The 21,044-nt window shown below is 38.7% G+C and overlaps 1 protein-coding gene across 10 annotated transcripts in view; it reads right to left on the bottom strand.

Moving 5' to 3' along the window:
- Positions 1-21,044, bottom strand: part of DNAH8 (dynein axonemal heavy chain 8) — a 315,482-nt gene that overhangs the window by 129,188 nt on the left and 165,250 nt on the right. For 8 of the 10 annotated variants that reach the window (XR_926078.3, NM_001206927.2, XM_011514319.3 and 5 more), the window contains 9 exons: positions 18,553-18,695; positions 18,149-18,283; positions 17,607-17,729; positions 14,601-14,814; positions 10,844-10,953; positions 6,741-6,904; positions 5,380-5,572; positions 3,225-3,347; positions 1,699-1,829 (listed from right to left, as the gene is read on the bottom strand). Coding sequence is in view for 9 of the 10 variants with exons in the window: in NM_001206927.2 (NP_001193856.1) it covers positions 1,699-1,829; positions 3,225-3,347; positions 5,380-5,572; positions 6,741-6,904; positions 10,844-10,953; positions 14,601-14,814; positions 17,607-17,729; positions 18,149-18,283; positions 18,553-18,695 (1,336 nt within the window). In the remaining variant the exon portion in view is untranslated. Of the gene's footprint in view, positions 1-1,698; positions 1,830-3,224; positions 3,348-5,379; positions 5,573-6,740; positions 6,905-10,843; positions 10,954-12,133; positions 12,276-14,600; positions 14,815-17,606; positions 17,730-18,148; positions 18,284-18,552; positions 18,696-21,044 lie in introns of those variants that run through there. The other 2 variants (XM_017010327.2, XM_047418259.1) reach the window with 2 other exon arrangements.

The following is a 21,044-nucleotide window of genomic DNA, read 5'->3' as shown; positions in this document are numbered from 1 at the left end:
TATGTTAAATTTAAATATATATACTAAAGAAGCTACAGCAATTAATATAGTAGGTAATGATACAAAGATAGATAAGGAAACCAGTGGAGGAGACTATATAGTCACATATATGATCAGATGACTTAAGACAAAAAATGGCACTGTGATGTGGCAGGGAAAAGATGACTTTTTTAATAAATGGAGCTGGATCAACTGGATATCAATATTGAAAATAATAATCACAACTCCTATGTCAGACATTATAAGAAAATGAATTCTAGGTCAGTTATAGTACTAAATGAGAAAGTAGTAAATTTTATGTGTAAATGTGAAGAAAATCATAGGAAAATATCTATGTGCCCTTAGGGTAAACAAAGATTTTAAAATATAATACAAAAAAGGACTAAATAGAAAAAAATGAATGTTTCATTAAAATTAAGATCCGCTAAGAGAATGAAAAGGCAAATCAATAACTGAGCAAAGGTATTTGCAATATACACCCTTTATATCCAAAACACATATAGAATTCCTAACAATCAATAAGAAAGAATCGCAAACAAATTGAAAAAAAAATGGAGAAAGGGCTTTTATAATTCACAAAAGAGCCTATCCAAATGGCCAATGAGAGATAAAAAGGTGCTCAACATCATTAGCCATCTGGGAAACGCAAACTGAAACACAGTGAGCTACCACTCCACACACAGAATTGCTAAAATCGGCCAGGCGCGGTGGCTCACGCCTATAATTTTGGGAGGCCGACGCGGGTTGATCACTTGAGGTCAGGAGTTCAAGAGAAGCCTGGCCAACATGGTGAAACCCCGTCTCTACTAAAAATACAAAAATTGGCTGGGCATGGTGGCACACTCCTGTGATCCCAGCTACTCGTGAGCTGAGGCAAGAGAATCGCTTGAACCTGGGAGGTGGAGTTTGCAGTGAGCAGAGATCATGCCATTGCACTCCAGCCTGGGCGACAGAGCAAGACTACATTTCAAAAAAAAAAAAAGATTTGCTAAAATGAAAAAGACACACAATGCCAAGTGGGAGCAAGGATGCGGAGCAACTCTCATGACATGTTGGTGGAAGTGTAAATTGGTACAACCACATGGAAAACTACTAAGCAGATCAACTAAAGCTAAATATACAGATAACCTACATCCAGCAATTTTAACTCTAGATGTGTACTCAGACATGTACAAGAATATTTACAGTAGCTCTATTTGCCCCAAACCAAATGTTTATCAAGAGTACAATGGATAAATAGACTGTGGTAGTATCTGATTAAGTTGAAGATCATGCAGCAAAAAGAATGAACAATTCTTGCTACATGTAGCATCATGGATGAATCTCACAAACAATGCAGTAATAGAAATAGGATGCAAAGAGCAAATCCTGTATAGTTCAATTGATACAAAATTCAAAACTGGGCAAAACTAATCAATGGGCTTACCCTTTGAATATGGTTACCCTTGGGAGGGTAATGACTGCAACGTAACATGGAGGCACTTCTGGGATACAAGAAGTGTTTTATTTCTTCATCTGTAGACTGGCTACATAGATGTATTTACTTTGTGACACTTGCGTAAATATCCTTATATATATAATACTTAAAGTTTACCTTAAAAAGAAATACAGGAAACTGTTGTGCTTCCTTTTTTTCTAAACATTTAACTATAGAGAAATTAACTATAGAAAAACATATTGTGTTTTATTTCATCCTACCTGGTTAATGTTATCTGGAATATTTGATAGCCAGCAATAAAAGAGGCCAATCTTGAAAGACTTTGTTTTCCGGAACCACCAACACCCACCAGCAATGCATTTCCACACGACGTTCGAATTATTCGTGAAATCTGTTTTGAGATTTAAAACGTGCTTATTTGAAAAAAGAATGCAATGTTTACATTTTCTTGCACTAAATGAGCCCAAGTTTTGATCATATGTTTCTAGATGATATTAGACTTTTTCCTCGTTAATGGTCTATGACAGAATTTTTAAAATTAAAGTTTAATACTGATTTGTTCAGCTCGAATCTTTCCTTGACCATCTATGTTTACATCATGAAGAACAGAACAAACTGGATTTACTCCCTTCTATTTTAAAACTATTCTGTGTGTGTGTTCATGCGTGTGCACGCATGTAGAATTTTATTATTTTTAGACCCAATGGATAGTGGAGCTGCTCTTCCCAATCTGCAGAAGATATAAGAAATGTTTACAATTGTTTTTTTATTATTCATCAGCCTGACACACTGAATCATGTAGACACCTAACTCAACAATGAACACTAACTCTATCATATCTCTGCCAACAAATTTTTTTAAGTACCATAATTCTATTTACAGTGGGGTAGGAGGATGTTTCTAGAAGCCAACTTGGAGAGACAGCCTTTCATGTTGTGTTGCTTTTCTATGGTTGATTTCCTCAGTGAAGATAAGACTCAAATTGTGGGTCAAATCTCATGCAGGCCAATTGAAGACATTGCTAAAAAGCTGTCTTTTATATTATTGTCACCAATTAGGGAGAAAGTCTAGATGGATCAGTAAATTCACTATCACCACTAAAAATAATTTTTAAAAAAATACAAGTTTTGCAGATGGTGGATCAATAATGACACCCTGGTATGTGTAAATTCTATCAGTATATTTTAAAATATATTAATCACTTATGGCTTTGCACTCAGAATAGGATCTCAGAACCTCAAGATCTAGCCACGGTGAATGGTCAATAATTACTTGTTGAATAGATTAGTGTGAAAACACCCCTTTTTCGTGTTACCTCTAACTGGCTTCTATTCTCTCACCAGTCCTATATATCAACCTTACCCCTGTCCCATCACCTGTAAGTCAATCATAACATTGACACTTTTAAAAGCAACATCTTTTCCTCCATGGGCAACAGAATTCCCATAATATCAAAATATAATTTGAGGGAAGTATATTTTTTCACAGGGTTCTCCATACTTTCTAAAGGTTCTCCATACTTTCTTGTTGACTCAGTGTGCCAAAAGCTCTGAACAGAAAACCATCTATTTGCCCTTGAAAGACATTTGCTGCCATGTAGATGGATTCAAATAAAGGGTTTCCTATTAAGCCTTTATTTTCTGGGACAGTGAATTGACCCAACCTATGTACAGTCTTCTATACGGTACCTGATAGTATATAGTTATTCTCTCAAAAAATTTATCTATGAAATATACGAAGCTTTTAAATCATCTATTTATATCAGTAAATAGGCAATAGTTAGGACCTTAATAAGATGAGTCATTGCATCTTTAAAAAACACCAGATCAAGAGATGTTCCTCTAATGATTTCATTGAACTGTCTCTGGTAAAACTGGAGTTTTTCAGCCAGAAAGTCAAAGGATGGCATCTATGGGTGGAGAGAAAGATAAAAAAATAATATTTAAGATCCAAGTATGTATTAAAGTAGCAATTGTAAAGACACTCAAAAGTAATTTTAAAATATACATATCTTTTTTTAAACGTTATGGATTTCCAGAGGTTTCTCACGTATTAGTCTACTTTTAGTTATTTCCATTTTCTAAGGCCTGAAACTTAACTGTATTAGTTGGTTTCTAGTGCAAAATCATTTCTGACCTTTCCCTACCAACTCCTATCCATAGTAATTAACACATTAATATAGGAAATATTTTTCTTGGTTTTTACTTACTTTTTAATATTGTTTGCAGCTTTCAAAAATATAAAAAGGTTTTACATTATTTATGGAGTTAAATCCACAAGTCTTTGTTGTTCTGAAATAAATCCACACCCACTTTCTTTGTTTTGCAAATTGTTCCTCCCCATCTAATTCTTTGATCTGCATACACTTTATTTTTATTTTTATTTTTTAGAGTCAAGGTACTCTGTCACCCGGACTGGAGTGCAGTGGTCCAATCATAGCTCACTGCAGCCTCGACTTCCTTGGCTCTATGGCTCCTCCTACCTCAACTCCCCCAAGTCGCGGGTATTACAGGCATAAACCACCTCGCCCGGCTCTATATAACTTTAGAATTACTTTGTTATATAACCCTGTTTTTAAAAGTCCCTTTGAAATCTTGTTTCAAATTTCATTAAACCTATATATTAATTTAGAAAGAATGACATGTTGCTGTTTAAGTAAAGTTTTATCATGTTAATTCCTACATGTTAATATTGTTGTTGCTGTTAAATGAAATACTTTTATGTTATATTTTCTGTCTTGTGATTGTTGGCAAGTGTTGGTAAATTTTTTCTGTAAAGGGCAAGATAGTAAATATTTCAGGCTTTAAGGCCCATTCAGTCTCTACTCACCCCTGCCATTGTAGTGCAAAAGCAGCTATGGCCAATATTTAAACCAATGGGTGTTTCAATAAAACCTTATTTATGAACAATGAAATTTGAATTCTATATTATTTTTACATGTCACACAATATTATTCTTTTGCTTATTTTTATTTTTTGGTAACTATTTAAAAATGAAAAATCAGCCGGGCATGGTGGCTCACGCCTGTCACTCCAGAATTTGGGAGGCCGAGATGGGTGGATCACTTGAGGTCAGAAGTTCAAAACCAGCCTGACCAACATGATAAAACCTCATCTCTACTAAAAATACAAAAAATTAGCCAGGCATGGTAGCGAGCACCTGTAATCACAGGACCAACACGGTGAAACCTCGTCTCTACTAAAAATACAAAAAATTAGCCAGGCATGGTGGGGGGCACCTGTAATCCCAGCTACTCGGGAGGCTGAGGCAGGAGAATTGCTTGAACTGGGAGGCGGAGGTTGCAGTGAGCCGAGATCGTGCCACTGTGCTCCAGCCTGGGGTGACAGAGAGAGACTCCATCTCAAAATAAATAAATAAATAAACAAATAAATATCCTTCTTAGCTAGTAAGTCTAATAAAAACAGGCAGTGGGCTGGCTGGATCTGGCCCAGAAACTATAATTTGCCAACCCTTGGTATAGGTATAGAGGATAGTTATTTCACATTTATATAATGCTTGGTCATCTTACTGAACTCTCTCTCTCTCTTTTTTGTTTTTTTGTTTGTTTGTTTGTTTGTTTGTTTGTTTTTTTGAGACAGGGTCTCATTCTGTCACCCAGGCTAGAGTGCAGTGACACAATCACAGCTCACTGCAGTCTCAAACTCCTGGGCTCAAGTAATCCTCCCACCTCCACCTGCTGAGTAATTGGGAGTACAGCAGCATGCCACCACACCCGACTAATTTTTCTTATTTTTTATAGAGACAGGGTCTCATTATGTTGCTCAGGCTGGTCTCAAACTCCCAGGCTCAAGCAATCCTCCCACCTCAGCCTCCCAAAGTGCTGGAATTATAGCAACTCCATGGTAGGACTCTGGTGCAGAGAGAAAGATCTAGTCAGGTGAGCAATCTGAAAACCTCTTTTAAGAGATGAAAATAAATACCAATTCATATATTTTGGGTACTTCAAACACAGAGTCTTCAGGTTCATCACCAGTTGGTTCTGGCATCTCACGAAGAAAATCCACAAAGTATGGTTCAGGAAGAATACACGACGCTGCATCAGAGCCAATATTTTCTTCAACTGCACGAGTAAGATGTGCATTAAACCACTGCTCATCTTCAGGAGTTATAAATCTGAAAGGAAAATGTAGTAGTAAGAATGTTAAATATGAAAGCATCTTTTCTAACTGAACATGTCCCTTCGCCTCTTCTCAGCCCCACCCTGGACCTTCTCAATTCAGGACAGGGAAACAATATGTTCTGCCTTTTGATAAGAAGGGCATAACCCCATCCAAGAAAGTTATAACATTAACAGCACTACTTATAGAAAACACAGATGAATCACTTAGGTGAGATCAAAGGTCCCTAAAACTTGCGATAGGAGAGCAGAAGTGATGGTCGGTAGTGGACGAGCGTCCTCTTTCTGGGTTGGTGGATTCAGTACACAAAGGACCTTTTCAGATTGACAATATAACAGAGGGAAGAGAGGACAAAGGGGAGTAACATTTGACAAGTATCACCCTTGTGTGAGACATGGTAGACACTTTACAACTTTGTGAAACTGGCATTATCATCTATGATTTATAGATGAGGGAATGGAGGCTCCAAAAGATGACTGAATTTAACTTTAATGGGATTGTTTAACTTTAAAGGGATGAAACCAGATTTCCCCACAGAAAACCTACAAAGAGCTCACAAAATTTGTAGAAAATATATACAATGAAAATGTGCCTCCGAATGTTATCACCTCTGATGATCTGGTGATTTATAAAGATGTATTGTTGAAGTCATACTGGAATAAATCGGCAGAGCATTTTTTTAAGACAGTGGGCAGGTGAGAGATGCCATCAATGCTTCACAAGCCCCACAGCAAATGATGACAATGCTCCTTACTCTACTTATCCTAGTAGGTAATGCAAGAAGTAACCGGCTGGGCAGGGTGGCTCATGCCTGTAATCCCAGCACTTTGGGAGACTGAGACAGGAGGATCTCCTGAGGTCAGGAGTTCAAGACCAGCCTGATCAACATGGAGAAACCCCATCTCTACTAAAAATACAACAACAACAACAAAATAGCCGGCCATGGTGGTGCATGCCTGTGATCCCAGCTACGGGGGAGGCTGAAGTTGGAGAATCACTTGAACCCGGGAGGCAGAGGTTGTGGTCAGCTGAGATCGCACCATTGCACTCCAGCCTGGGCAACAAGAGCAAAACTCCATCTCAAAAATAAAAATAAAAAAAATTAACCAAGTAGTATAAACTTCTCAGGTCATACATTTAAACTCTAGTGCCGCAACACGCACCTGTCTGCAATTACTCTGCTGCACTCGTGTTTGAAAAGGGACAGGAGAGTAGGGATTGAAGCGCACTCCTCAGCTTTTATGGTCAACATTCCTTGCCAAATTCTGGAAAGATCTCGAAGATTGAAGATGTAATGAAATTTAGAAGGAGTTGGCAGCATCTTCACCTAGAGATGAAAAAATGTAATACTCTCAGTTAGTTTTCAGATACAACTAAAAGTAGAATTACTTTTACAACTGTCTCACAAATCCTATTTTAGATAAAATCTGCTGAGTAAATAAATCAAGATTAAGTTCACATTTTGTGACAACACGGACAGAAAAAAATCATAAATAAACCAACTTAGGATTTAAAAGACCATAATCTCTTGGATAGGATGGATTCAAGACCAAGGCACTGGATGCAGATTCCAACACCTTGTTCTACTACCATCAGTTGGCTTTGAACAAGTCACCTCCCCTGAATTCTTAAGGACTATATGAACTGTGGGAATAATCATCCCTAATTATTGGTAGTATATGTGGAAATATGTCATAACAAAAACTGAACGTGAGTTGGTTGTCATGCAGGTAAGAACAACGAATGTTCACCTTTAAAGTTAATAATGGCTATCTTCTATAAATTGCTTTGATTAGGGTCCTTAATGTGTTAGGATTTCCATAAATATATCTGCATATCATAACCTGGATTTTACTGTGTGGATCCAAACTCAGTCAACAGTCTTTCATGTATCTGTATATCCATAATAAGTGGACAGGCAAGTCTGACATGCAGCTATACGTATAGTAATAGATGTTTTTTCTGTTTGAGCACAAAGACTGTATTATATGCTAATTTACTATTTCTACCAACTTCTAGGATATAAAAAGGCAAAGCTGTAACAATACCACATTCTTACCCAGAGAGATACCCGTTAAGAGATAACCTCGAGGTACTCTAGATATGGAAAGCATTGATGGTCATGTATAAAGATCATAATTGATATCATTAGCATCATTTTTGAAAGTGAAAATAATGATAATTCTGGTGATACAAACACCCCATACGCCTATTTCAGCAAAGCAGATGCTTTCTTTAGCATCTGTTCATAAATTAAGCCCTTTCTATACTGAAAAATTACCCTATTGAGTTTGTAATTTTTACAGGCTAATTCACAGTGCTATTTAAAACAGCAAGTAGCATGGGGAGATGAAAATAAAAGAAGTGTATTTTATCAATCACCTATCAACTTCCCTCTTTGCTCAGTTCCATTGCAAACTAAAATGTTCATCCTACCCACTAAAATGTAAAACATATAGTTATATTACAAGTATGTAAAAATACTCAAAGCGGTAAGGTTATGTGAATATTGCTTTTTTTATAGTATAACACTCCAGCCATGACGGCAGCCATTGGTAACTGAGGCAGTCATTAAAGAGAATTCTGTAAAAAAAAATTCCTTTCTTTCCTTCTTCTTCTCATTATTTGTTAACCTGCTTCTTTCCTTCTCTTCTAATATTTCCCTCTACTTTTCATCACCTTCTTTCTTTTCTGAACTGCTTCTGCCTTAAAGCTATATAAAGTAATACAAAGGTGGGCTGATAGACAAGGCATGAATGGATCAAAAGAGTGCTTTGTGAAGATGGGAGATTTGAAGAAAAGATACAAAGAAGGCTGCTTATGTAGAGGTGGGCAGAGGAGGAAGATTCATTCATTTTTCAATGACTGAGCACCTCCTTGGTTCTTAAGAAGACACAGTGGTAAACAGAGGACAGCTAACTCTGCTGCCATCAAGCGGGCTTTTATTCCAGTGGGGAGAGCCTGAGAATGAACAGGGAACAAATATATATGTAAATATGCAAATAATGATAGAAGCCATGGTTTAAAAAAAACCAGGGCCAGGAGACAGATAATGACTAGGATAGGGACAAGTGCAGTCACTTTAGAGGATGATTGGAACAGTCGCTCTGAAGGTAAGAGTGATGAGAATGAGCCAACGTATGGTGGCCCAGCAACGCAATAAACCTGGGGTACTCAAGGAATGGTGAGCAGGGCCATCGGCTGGAGCAGGTTGGTGGCAGGCAAGGGAAGTAAGCGGAGTCTGCTGACATTGTAAGTGGAACTGGGAGTCTACTGGTGGTTTTAAGAAGGAGTAAAGATTTCTGCTTTACTTTTTAAAAAATATCATCTAGGACTGTGAAAAGAACAGACTCCAAGAGAGCAAGAAGAAAGCAAGGAGATTGGTTAGGAAGTTACTGCATGGTCCAGGGGACAGGTGATCGGACCACTTATCAGGGTGGTCACGGGGGGATGGTGAGGAAGGTTCAGCTTTGGGGTAGATTTTGAAGGGGAGGTCACTGAGATTCACTGATGGACTCGATGTAGGCCATGAGGAAGACATAAATCAAGGATGGTGCCCAGTAATTTTAACCTAAGAAGCAGGATAACTGGTGCTGCTACTAAGATGCAGAAGTCTGAGAGAGGATTGTATTTAAAGACATTTAGGAGTTCTGTTTGGACATGGTAACTTTGAGATGAGTATCAGACATCAAACACTGATGTCTATTAAGTAGTTAGCAATCGGCCTGGAGCCAGGTAGAGAGGCCTGGGATGGAGATATCCATTTTGAAGTCATCAGCACAGGGATGATGTTTAGAGCCTTGAAGCTTGATGAGGCCACCTAGGGAAAGAATGTAGATAGAGAAGAGGGCCTGGCATCGAGACCAGGTGCATTTCAGTGTTTAGAGGAGGGAAAGAAGAAGGGGGACTTTAATGAGGTAGCCAGTGCACTAGGAAGAAAATCAAGACTATGGGGACCCTCTGAAGCCAAGTGAAGAAAATATTTAGAGGGATCATTTAGGTCAAATGCTGCTAAAGGATCATTTAGGTCAAATGCTGCTAAAAAGTCAAGTAAGAGGGAGAGGAAAATTAACCTTGAGATGTGGCAAGATCAAGGTCTTTGGTGGCCTTGACATGAACAGTGGGAATGAAAGCTTGTGCAGAATGGATTAAAGAGGTAAAGAAAAGACACTGAGGAAATGGAGCCAGGAAACATCCAAATACCAAAAGAAACTGATGGAAGACAGCTGCAAGGGCAAAGCTTTTCAGAGAACTATGTATATAAGCACAGTAAATTGAGCAATAATCCTATTGGAAACCACATGTATCTTACCACGGAAAACTATCTCAGACGCTCAGTCCTTGCAACTCATTTCTGAGTTTCTTTAAAAGAGGTGCAATGGCATGTGCAAAGGCCCTGTGTTGGCAAGGAACAGGGCCCCACACTCATCACTGAAGGTGGCCACATGGAAGAGCATCTCATAAGAAACCCCCAAATTCCTCTTCCAATAATTGTGTATCTAGAAATCCCCCAGTCTACCCAGGAATCTGAAAGGCTGGCACACTCAGGTTTCCCAGGAGACAAGTGCGTGCCCACATGTGTATAATTGGCCTAATGGATGTGTAGTGAATTACGACAACTAATCCTTATCTCCTTCATGGCTTTTTGTCAAATATATCAACCTCATTTTTATCTCATACCTACACTTAATTGCCTTTTCATGAGTACTGCCCTAAGTCATCTGGGGACAGCTGCAGGTTTGCTGAGCTTTACTTAGGACACTGACTTGTGTATGCAAATCTAGCCAATTTTTGTTAAGAACATTTCCATCCATTTACTAACTCACGCTCCTGCTCAGAGAAATACACAAGTTAGACTTCAAGTCCTAGTTGGCTGAGAATATCTGGAAATCCATGTATTAAGTCAGTCAATAAGCATCTGAGTGTCTGACATAGTTTGGTAGAAGGAGACAGATAATACAAATAAAGATTTACAAATCAGAGTAACAAGTGGAAATGCAGTGTTCTCATTTCAGCAAAATTCTACTTTGTCTTGGATGTCATGTCTGGTTTACAGTAACATCTCATACATACGGAAAGCATCATTTAGTCAGATCATTTGCTCCCTGGAAGGAAAAGGTGTTGTAAATCTATTTGAGCACGTAATTTGTCTTTTCCAAAAAACACCACTATATATGATATTATGATAACTTAATGAGCCACGAGGTGTGATCTAGGGCTGAATAATAGTTGCCTTTTTAAAAATTATTGACAAACCATTCTGTACCTTAGTCCATTGCCACAGCACTCTACCCACTGAGACTAAATTCACAATCATCTCACATATTTGAGGCTTGAAACTTCTACAAGGATCAAAGTATCCACATCCAATAATTCCTGAAAGATAAGCAAGATTGAAGGTATAAGCTTACCAAAAGATTTCCAAGTATATGTTTATCCCAGTAAACAAATCATTACAAGGCTGACTAAGCTGGGTGTTGTTCAGAATTTCTCTCAAGGGATCAGCTAAGACTGGGAGTCAGTAGTGGATCCAGCCAAGCTTAGTACGCAGTGATAAGTGTTTTATATGTATTGACTCATTTAATCCCCCACCCAGCACCCTACAAGAAAAAAATACAAGGTAGGTATTATTATTACTAGTCCCATTTTAACATGAGCTTAGTAACTTGCTCAAAGTTACACAGCTTGCATGCAGACAAATCTGAGATGTGAACCCAAGCAACCTGGCCCTAGAGTCTGTACATCAGCATTCACCCTGAAGCATATGTGAGCTTAGAGAGTACTCCCTCATCTTACAGAGAAGGAGACCAGGCCCAGACAGGTGAAGCCGATTGTTCAAGGTCACATGGACTGGTATTGGCAGAACTGGAATCAGGACCACTTTTTCCAGCCTACAGTCAGTCACCACTCTGGCCTGGGCTAGACATGCAACATTCCTAGGGAACACCCAGCAAAGTGATGGTCTGACCATCATTATGACTCTCAGAAAGACTGGGGTGTAGGTTTAGAGACTGTTCTCAAAGTCTCAGAATGTCTTTGATTTAGACCGAAGAAAGATTTACTCTGCTTCACTCCAGTGAGACTACACACTGCAGAGTGTGTTCAGTTCTGAGCATGGTATTCTCAGAGGAATATGAATATCTGCTCAGAGATGCAGAACAGGTTGATGAAGAGTGGAGACTAAAGAAACTGGAGTTTGTTCACACTAATTGAAGAATTGCCCTGGGGAAACATGAAATTTTCCTCCAAATCATGGTTGGTTGTGCTAAGTGCCTGTAAAGTCCGTTTGCTTCCTGAAATCCTATATTCTAGATTTCCACCTTCCTGTGGGACAACCATGTTATAAGAAGCATGAGATAGGGATTAGCAACACCCATCTGCCAAGCACTAGCTAAAAGGCCTTGATTGGGCAGTTATCTCACTTCTCTGAGGCTCAGTTTCTGGTTGGTTTGTTTTCCGTATTTGTTTAAATGTGTCAGTCATACTGAAGAGTATGTCAAATAGCTTAACAAATAACAAACGCTCATGTACAGACCACCAGATTGAAAACTACAACCTTGCCCAGCACATTAGAAGCCCTTGTACGTTCATCCTTGTTCACAATTCCTCCCTTCTCCAGAGGTCGCCACCTCTCTTTAATATAATCAGTAACTTGCTTTTCTTTATAGCTTCACCACTTAGGTTTTTGAACTTCTGAACTGGTAAAAAAAAAAAATTTTTGAAATTCAGTTTAATGGAATTATATTTTTCCTGTGATTTGCTTCTTTCAATTCAGCATTGTATTTCTGGGCTTCATCCATGGTGAAAGCATGTAGCTATATTCATTCATTTTCACTGCTGCACAGCAGGCCACTGTGTGCCTGTGACAGGATGTATTTATCCAGTTTTACTAGTGATAAATATCTGGATTATTTCACGTTTTTGCCATTGTGTACGCTGCACTATGAGCATTTTTGTATAAGTCTGCTGGCATGCATGTGCAAAATCAACTACAGATGGATTGAGGCCCCAGATATGGAAGGCAAAACTATACAATGTCTGGAAGAAAACATAAAAGAATACTTGTATGATGTCCGGATAGAAAAGGACTTCTTGAGACTCAGAAAACCCAAACCATAAAGGAAAAAAATGACAATTTGGCATAAACCTAGAAGTGGTACTGCTAGGGATGGGCACACGCCCTACTTTACCAGCAGGGATGCAAAATTGTTATCCAAAGGGTTTGTAGCAACTGACACTACGGCCAGCAGGCAATGAGAGTCTCAGTTGCTTCACATTCTCACTAATGCTTGATTTTTGTCAGAATTTTTTATTTTTGCAAATCTAGTGGGTATGAAATGGTATCGCTTGGTGTTTCTCATTTGTATTTTCCAGAATACTGATGATGTTTACCATCTTTACTTTGTTTATTGGCTATTTAGCTTCCTCTTTTTAAAGTGCCTTAGTTGTTTGCCCATTTTTATATCAGGTTGTTTCCTTTTCTTGACTGACTGATTTATAGGATTTCTCTAAATATTCAGAATATGACATTTTTGTTGTTATTATATGTGTTAAAATTTTTTCTTCCACTTTGAGGCTTTTCACTCTCTTAATGTTATTTTTTAATGAAGAGAAATTTTACATTTCAATCTAGTCAAATTGGTATTTTTTTTCTTTATTTTTGTGCTTTCTGAGTCTCATTTATGAAATCCTTTCCTACTCAGAGGTCACTCAACTATTTCTCTACATTTTCTTCCAAATGTTTTACAGCCTTGCCTTCCATATTTAGGTCCTTATCTCATCTGTAGTTGATCATGTCATTGGCATGAGGTAGCTGTCCAAATTTAATTATTTTCCTATAAGAATTACTAAGTATCCCAGAACTACTTATTAAAAGTCTGCCCTTTCCCGGATGGGCACGGTGGCTCATGCCTGTAATCCCAGCACTTTGGGAGCCCGAGGCAGGCAGATCACCTGAGGTCAGGAGTTCGAGACCAACCCTGTCAATGTGGTGAAACCCCGTCTCTACTAAAAATACAAAAAAATTAGCCGGGTGTGGTGGCAGGCGCCTGTAATCCCAGCTAATTGGGAGGCTGAGGCAGGAGAATCGCTTGAACCCAGGAGTCAGCGGTTGCAGTGAGCTGAGATCGCGCCACTGCACTCCAGCCTGGGTGACAAGAGTGACACTCCATCTCAAAAAAAAAAAAAAAAAAAAGTCTGCCCTTTCCCTTCTGACTACAGTACTTGCTATATCAAATAATTAATGTTCTTATATGCAAGGGTCTGTTTCTCGTGTATGTAAGAGGTTTTGGGGTGGATTGGGGGTTTGTTTTTTGGTTTTTTAGACAGGTTCTTACTCTGTTACCCAGGCTCGAATGCAGCAATGTGATCATAGCTCACTGCAGCCTTGACCTCCTAGGCTCAAGCAATCCTCTGGCCTCAGCCTTCCACGCAGCTAGGACTACAGACGTGTGCCACCATGCCCAGCTAATGTTTTAAATTTTTTGTAGAAATGGGGTCTCTCTATGAGCCCAGGCTGCTCTTGATCTCCTGGCCTCCAGCAATTCTCTCACCTTGGTCTTCCAAAGTGCTAAGATTATAGGCATGGGCTGACCTACACATAAGTTTTGATGGCATAATTTATGTGATTCGATGTTACATTTGATGTCAAGAATCTCATTTTCATTAACATATTGAAGTGCTACATTTGACTTTGTATAATATATCGTTAATCTGTGATCTTTGTGCTATCATTTATTGGCCCAAATTTCTCTGATTAACCATGTCCTGAAAACCAAAACACCAAGGTTCCTTTACGTCTAATGTTAACTTTCAACAAGCCTATTTTTAAATATCTCTGAGTCTGAGAATAGGCTATAAGCATAGGTCACCTTAGTATTTAGTCCCTCTTTCCTAGTGTTTAGCTCTCCATTTCACATACCTAACCCCACTTTAGACAGAGCCTTTTTGTCTCTTAAATGAAATTTTGTGTGGTTTATGTCCATTATGTAATGCAATAAAATAAACGCTAAGAATATTCATACCAAAAATTTTGTCTATTGAAGCATTTGAAGGCAATGTACAATTAAACACAGTAAATTGTCTTTTTAAACGTTGTGGAATATCATTTCGACCACCTCCAGGGTGGATCATTGCTGCTATGAGCTGCACATCAACAATAGTAGTGAAGTCTCCAGGCTTGTCCAAGCTGTACATTCCTTCCATTTCCATCATCTGTCGCACAATCTCATTAGTTATCTGAAATTTCACACAGCAATATTTTTGTAACATATCACTATCATATTCCTCCATAACTTCAATAAAATAGTACAAATGAGATTAGAAGAAAACATTAAACTCTTATCAATGAAGTGTTTGTGAATGTCGATGATCACCTTCAAGGTAATTTGACTTAAATGATGTCACCCATGAACTCTAGATCATAACACATGCATGGTCCAAGTCCAAGGTGCCTTTCACCACATTGATCAAACTAATTTCCAAATAAATTTAGATATGTGAGTTATAAGATATTTGGTTAAATTACATTAATACTCCAAGTTACAACAAGTTTTACTGTAGACATCTTTCATACTCAATATTCAACACTTAAAAACCTTTAGATCAGAATGTAGGATGGTTTCTGTCCTGAGTTTTCAATATTATATTACTAACTGTTTTGGTTGTTGGTTTTATGTTCTCATCTTATCTTCTCTGCATCCTCCAACACTGCCAACCCCCCTCCTTGGAAATGTTACCTCTCTTGGTTTCAGAGGCTTGTTTTTTTTCCAGGTCCATCTCAGGGCTCTGGGATCACTTCCTAAGCCACTCATTGTCCACTCATCCCTCACATGTAACTGTTCTCCAGGGTTCCATCCTGGGCTCTTTCCTCTTCTCATTGTTCCAGGAAATGCTATCTCAACCCTATATTCTAAAGAATCTCATATCTATAACTCTAGCTTCAAATTCTCTTCTAAGCTCTACACCTGTATATTCAAGTCTCTATTGAGCATCTCTTAGTGCATATCACACAAGCACCTCAAATATAACCGTCTTTCAATTAACCAACATTTCATGAATGACTACTGTGTGCCAGCCTCTCTTGTAGCATAGACAAAATTTTCTGTCCTCATGAAGCACACATTCTAGTGGTGAGAGACAAGATGTACAGATGCATGTTGATATGTAAATAAAATGGTATACTCTAAGACTTTTGTAGAATATAGGAGGGGCTCAAGGGTGTGACTCAAGGAGAGCAGGGGAGGCTTCACCTGACATGATATATAAGCCAAGACCTGAAGAAGGTGAGAAAGTAAGCCAGTTCGATACCTAGGGGAAGAGCACTCTAGGCAGAGGAAACTGCAAATGCAGAGGTACTGAGTGAACACCATATCCAGCGTATACAAAGATCAGTAAATGTGGTGGAAGCAAAGAGTCACGGGAAGAGGGAGAGGCGGTCAAAATGTGTAGAGTCTTGGATCATGGTAAGGATTTTGGTATTTATATTCTACAAGTCTCTTTGGAGGATGTTGACCAGAAGAGTGTGTCGTGATCTAACTCTTGTTTTCATTTGTTGATGATGTGAGAACAAGCTGAGAAGGGTAAGGGAGACAGGAGGCAGTGAGGAGGCATTTGTAATGATCAAGAAGAGAGCTGGTGGTGGGTGGCGCCAGGTGGTAGCAGTGGAGGTGATGAGTAGTGGTCAAATTTCAGATACAGTGTGAAGATAGAGCCAACTTGATTTTCTGACAGAGTGACTGTGGAGGTGCTATTTGCTGAGAGAGAGAAGACTGTTGGAGGAGCAGGTGTTGGAGGTGTTAAGTTTGCGATCCAACCAGACATCCCTAGTTGGATACGTGAGTTCGGAATTCAGGAGCGCTTCAGCTTATGGAAGATAAGCATGAACCTGATCTAAACATGCCTTCACCCTCCTCTCCTTCCAGGAACTGCTGAGGTCTATCTGCCTTGGAGCAGACGCAGGCCATACAGAACTGTTTGGTTTTTCGCCACAGGATGAGTACTGAGCTTCTAGTGGTGTCTGAGGCGAATAGGGATAAAGAGCAAAATGGGACTTGTCCTGGTAGAGCCAAAGTAGATGGTGTCAATGAAGCAGTGTAGGTCGGTGGGAGGAAAGTGTTGGGGATCCCACCAGGAGCATGCGGACTTCTGGCAACACCGGTGAAGTCTTCTAATGGGGAATGACCTGGGTGGATAGATGACCACAACTAGAACCACGGTGTGTGGCACAGTTAAATAAATAAATAAATAGTTGTTTGGTTTTTCATTTTTTGTTTTTGTTTTTTTGAACATCACGTACTCCTCAGAAATTATGCACAATAAGAGGTTAGAGCAAGGATGTAACCCTGCAGAAAGGCAGAAGAGAGGAGCTAAGAAAGGACACTGAAGTCAAGTAGCCAAAGAGAGAGGAGGCATTTGCTGTAGAAAACCACGTAGGAGACAGGTGTGATGGCTCATGCCTGTAATCCCAGCACTTTGGGAGGCCGAGGTGGGCGGATCATCTGAGGTCAGGAGTTCAAGACCAGCCTGGCCAACATGGTGAAACCGTGTCTCTACTAAAAATACAAAAATTAGCCAGGCGTGGTGGCGGGCACATGTTATCCCAGCTACTCAGGTGGCTGAGGAAGGGAGAATTGCTTGAGCCCGGGAGGTGGAGCTTGCAGTGAGCTGAGATCATGCCACTGCACTCGAGCTTGGGTGAGAGAGCAAGACTCCGTCTCAAAATGTTAAATGACGAGTTAATGGGTGCAGCACACCAACATGGCACATGTATACATATGTAACAAACCTGCATGTTGTGCACATGTACCCTAAAACTTAAAGTTTAATAAAAAAACAAAAACAAAAAAACACATAGGGATTTAAGAAAGGAGAAACTCAGCTATAACAGAGAAGTCAGAAAAAGACTGAGGATTGGCAGTAGACTTAAAAACATAAAGTTTTTAACAAAGTTATTAACATTTACATATATATAATATATATACATAAAAATACAAATTCAGGATCATCTATATGAGATATTTCAGCCATACCTGATCTCCCCACTCATTAATCACAGGCATATTAATATCATCAATAAATACAGTCATTTTTCTCCCTCCTGGTGGCCCATATGTGCTTCCAATTCGCTTATCCACGTAGCTTTCAATTGTTCTCTAGAGAGAAGGAAACGTTTTGTCTTATGCATTAGATTTTAATCCATACTTCTAAAAATAATGAGCATTCTTGTCAGAGTAGAATATAATTTACTTACGCATTTAATAAGTATACATATAATTATTAAAATATATGTTGTTAAATTTTTAAAAATAAGGCATTGGAGTTTTATCCTTCATTTACATTACAGTAGATATGCTCCAAAGTTCAGCTGCAGTCTCAATATTAGGTCAAAGTATGCTATTTGGATTTGCCTTCAACCTTAGCCTTAGGAAAGCTAAACAGCTGAATGCCAAGTGCAGCATGATTTCTTTTGAATATATAATATTTTCACATTTTATATGCGTACACATTTTATTGTAACCACTAATTTAAAATGTATTATGTTTATAATATTACAGCAAATGATGGATTTCACCTGAAACATCATTGGTTCTGTGGCAGATGAAAAGTTTAGACTTTTGGATAGCTGTACTTCAGGATCATATTTTTTCAAATAGGCCTTAACCATGACAGTTTTTGCAGTTCCCTGCTCTCCTGTGAGCAAAACAGCCTGCAATCATAGGATAATAGTGTTGAAATGTGTTACAACTTATTTAGTTTCAAATATCTTATGATTCTATGGGCTAGTCTTCTATAAATTAATACAACTAATTTTTAATAACTTTTTAGAATTGCATCTACCATCAAAATAAGTCCCAGTTGTATTACAGATTTAAATGTAAAATGTGTACTATAAAAGTGCTGGAAGAAAATATGGGTGCATATTCCCGTGGCCATGGATGGTTTGTGATCATTTAAGGAACTATCTATTAAACTTACTTTATGTTGTTTTGCAATGGTGTCTATCAAAAAATTTGTTCTAATATTGTCAACATTTGGAACCAAAATTGATGAATATTCCGGAATACTGTCAGTTGGATAATAATAAGGCTGAAGTTTCTTATTCCAGTGCTCCCAATCACCTATATAATAAGTAAAATTTCATCTTAATAGAACCATATTCTGTGAAAGTTATCTCATAATACAAAAATGTTAAGTGCAATAAACAATCAATAGAATCGTATAAACATTCAAAATGTTTTCCTAAAACATGTTAATATATCTGCTTATCTTATGTCTACAGCATTTGATAATTTGTTTTGCCTTTTTTTATAAAGTCAGCTTTTAAAAAAACTTTCAGGTTCAGGGATACATGTGCAGGTCTGTTAGATATACAGGGGTTTGTCGTACAGATTATTTCATCACCAGGTGATAAGCATAGTACCCAATAAGTAGTGTTTTGATCCTCACCCTTCTCCCACCCCCAACCCTCAAGTAGGCCCCAGTGTCTGTTGTTCCTTTCTTTGCATCCCTGTGTACTCAATATTTAGCTCCCACTTATAATTGAAAATACGCAGTATTTGATTTTCTATTCCTGAGTTAGTCTGCTTAGGATAATGGCTTCCAGCTCCATCCATGTTTCTTCAAAGGACATAATCTCATATTTTTTATGGCTGCATAGTATTCCATGGTATATGTGTACCAAATTTTCTTTATCCAGTCTAACACTGATGGGCATGTAAGTTGATTCCATGTCTTTGCTATTGTGAATAGTGCTGCAATGAACATATGCATGCATGTGTCTTTATGGTAGAATGATATACGTTCCTTTGAGTATAATACCCAATAATGAGATTGGTGGGTCAGATGGTAGGTCTAAGTTTAAGTTCTTTGAGAAATCACCAAACTGCTTTCCGTAATGGCTGCACTAATTTACATTCCCACTAGCAGTGTAGAAGCATTTCCTTTTCTCCACAACCTCTCCAGCATCTGTTATTTTTTGTAAATTGGCTTTTAAATTGCTAACTCACCCATCTGGAGAAACCTTGCCTGAAATGGAATTAAAATCAGCCGGTGGTAAAACCAGTAATGTAATGGATGCCTAGCAGAAAAGCCACATCAACTGAAAAGACGGAAAAGACCAAAAAAAGAGTCAACCGTTTACTAGATATAGAGTATTTGCCATAAGAAATTGATTTCAAGTCCGGGCACAGTGGCTGACGTCTGTAAACCCAGCACTTTGGGAGGCTGAGGTGGGTGGATCAGCTGAGGTTGGAAGTTCGCGACCAGCCTGACCAACGTGGAGAAACCCTGTCTCTACTAAAAATACAAAATTAGCCAGGCCTGGTGGTGCATGCCTGTAATCCCAGCTACTCGGGAGGCTGAGGCAGGAGAATCACTTGAACCCGGGAGGCGGAGGTTGTGGTGAGCCAAGATCGCGCCATTGCACTCCAGCGTGGGCAACAAAGAGCGAAACTCCGTCTCAAAAAAAAAAAAAAAAAACATTGATTTCAAAAATTTATTTACATTTTAGCATCTCTGGATGTTCCTTACAACCTGTGGTACTGTACCATTGCTGTTGCTAGGCAAACTTGTATTGGCGTTATTCCTATCATTGCCATTCAAATTGAATTACTTTCATTGATACGTTTAGCCTCTATTTTAAATGTCTTCAAAAAGATTATACAATGATTCAGAATTATACCCAAAAGTTACTGTGTACACAGAATGCATGGAAAGAAAGCATACATTGATATTGGTGAAACAATGATGAACAAATACTCATCATTGGAGTAATAACCCCAATTTCATGTTTTCTTGAGAAAGTAAGCAAAAATGAGTATGTTTAACTTCTAAAACACTGCCAAACTATTTTCCAAAGTGGCTGTGCCATTCTGTAGCATATGAGGGCTCTAGGTGCTCTATTACGGCACCAATATTTGGCATTATTAACCTTTTTAACTGTAGACATTCCAGTGGCTATGTGATGATATCCATTGTGCGGGGTTTTGTTTTTGTTTTTTTTGAAGCAAGGTCTGCCTCTGTGGCCCAGACTGGAGTGTAGTGGTGCGATCTCAGCTCACTGCAGCCTCCATCTCCGGGTTCAAGCAATTTTCCTGCCTCAGCCTCCTGAGTAGCTGGGATTACAGGCACCCGCCACCACGCACAGCTGATTTTTGTATTTTTAGTAGAGACGGGGTTTCACCATGTTGGCCAGGCTGGTCTCGAAGTGCTGACTTCAAGTGATCTACTCGCCTTGGCCTCCCAAAGTGTTGGGATTACAGGCATGAGCCACTGCACCCAGACCCCATTGGAGTTTTAATTTGCATTTCCCTGACGACCAATGATGTTAAATATCTTTCACATGCTTTTTTCACCTTTCACTTATCTTATTTAGCAAAGTATCAACTGAAATTTCCTCCCCATTTTAAAATTTAGATTGGTTGCCTATTGATAGTTATTGGATTATAGGAGTTCTTTACATATTCTGG

The sequence above is a fragment of the Homo sapiens genome, chromosome 6 (assembly GCF_000001405.40).
Source record: "Homo sapiens chromosome 6, GRCh38.p14 Primary Assembly".
Classification (NCBI taxonomy): Eukaryota; Metazoa; Chordata; class Mammalia; order Primates; family Hominidae; genus Homo; species Homo sapiens.
This window is presented reverse-complemented; position numbering and strand designations above follow the sequence as displayed.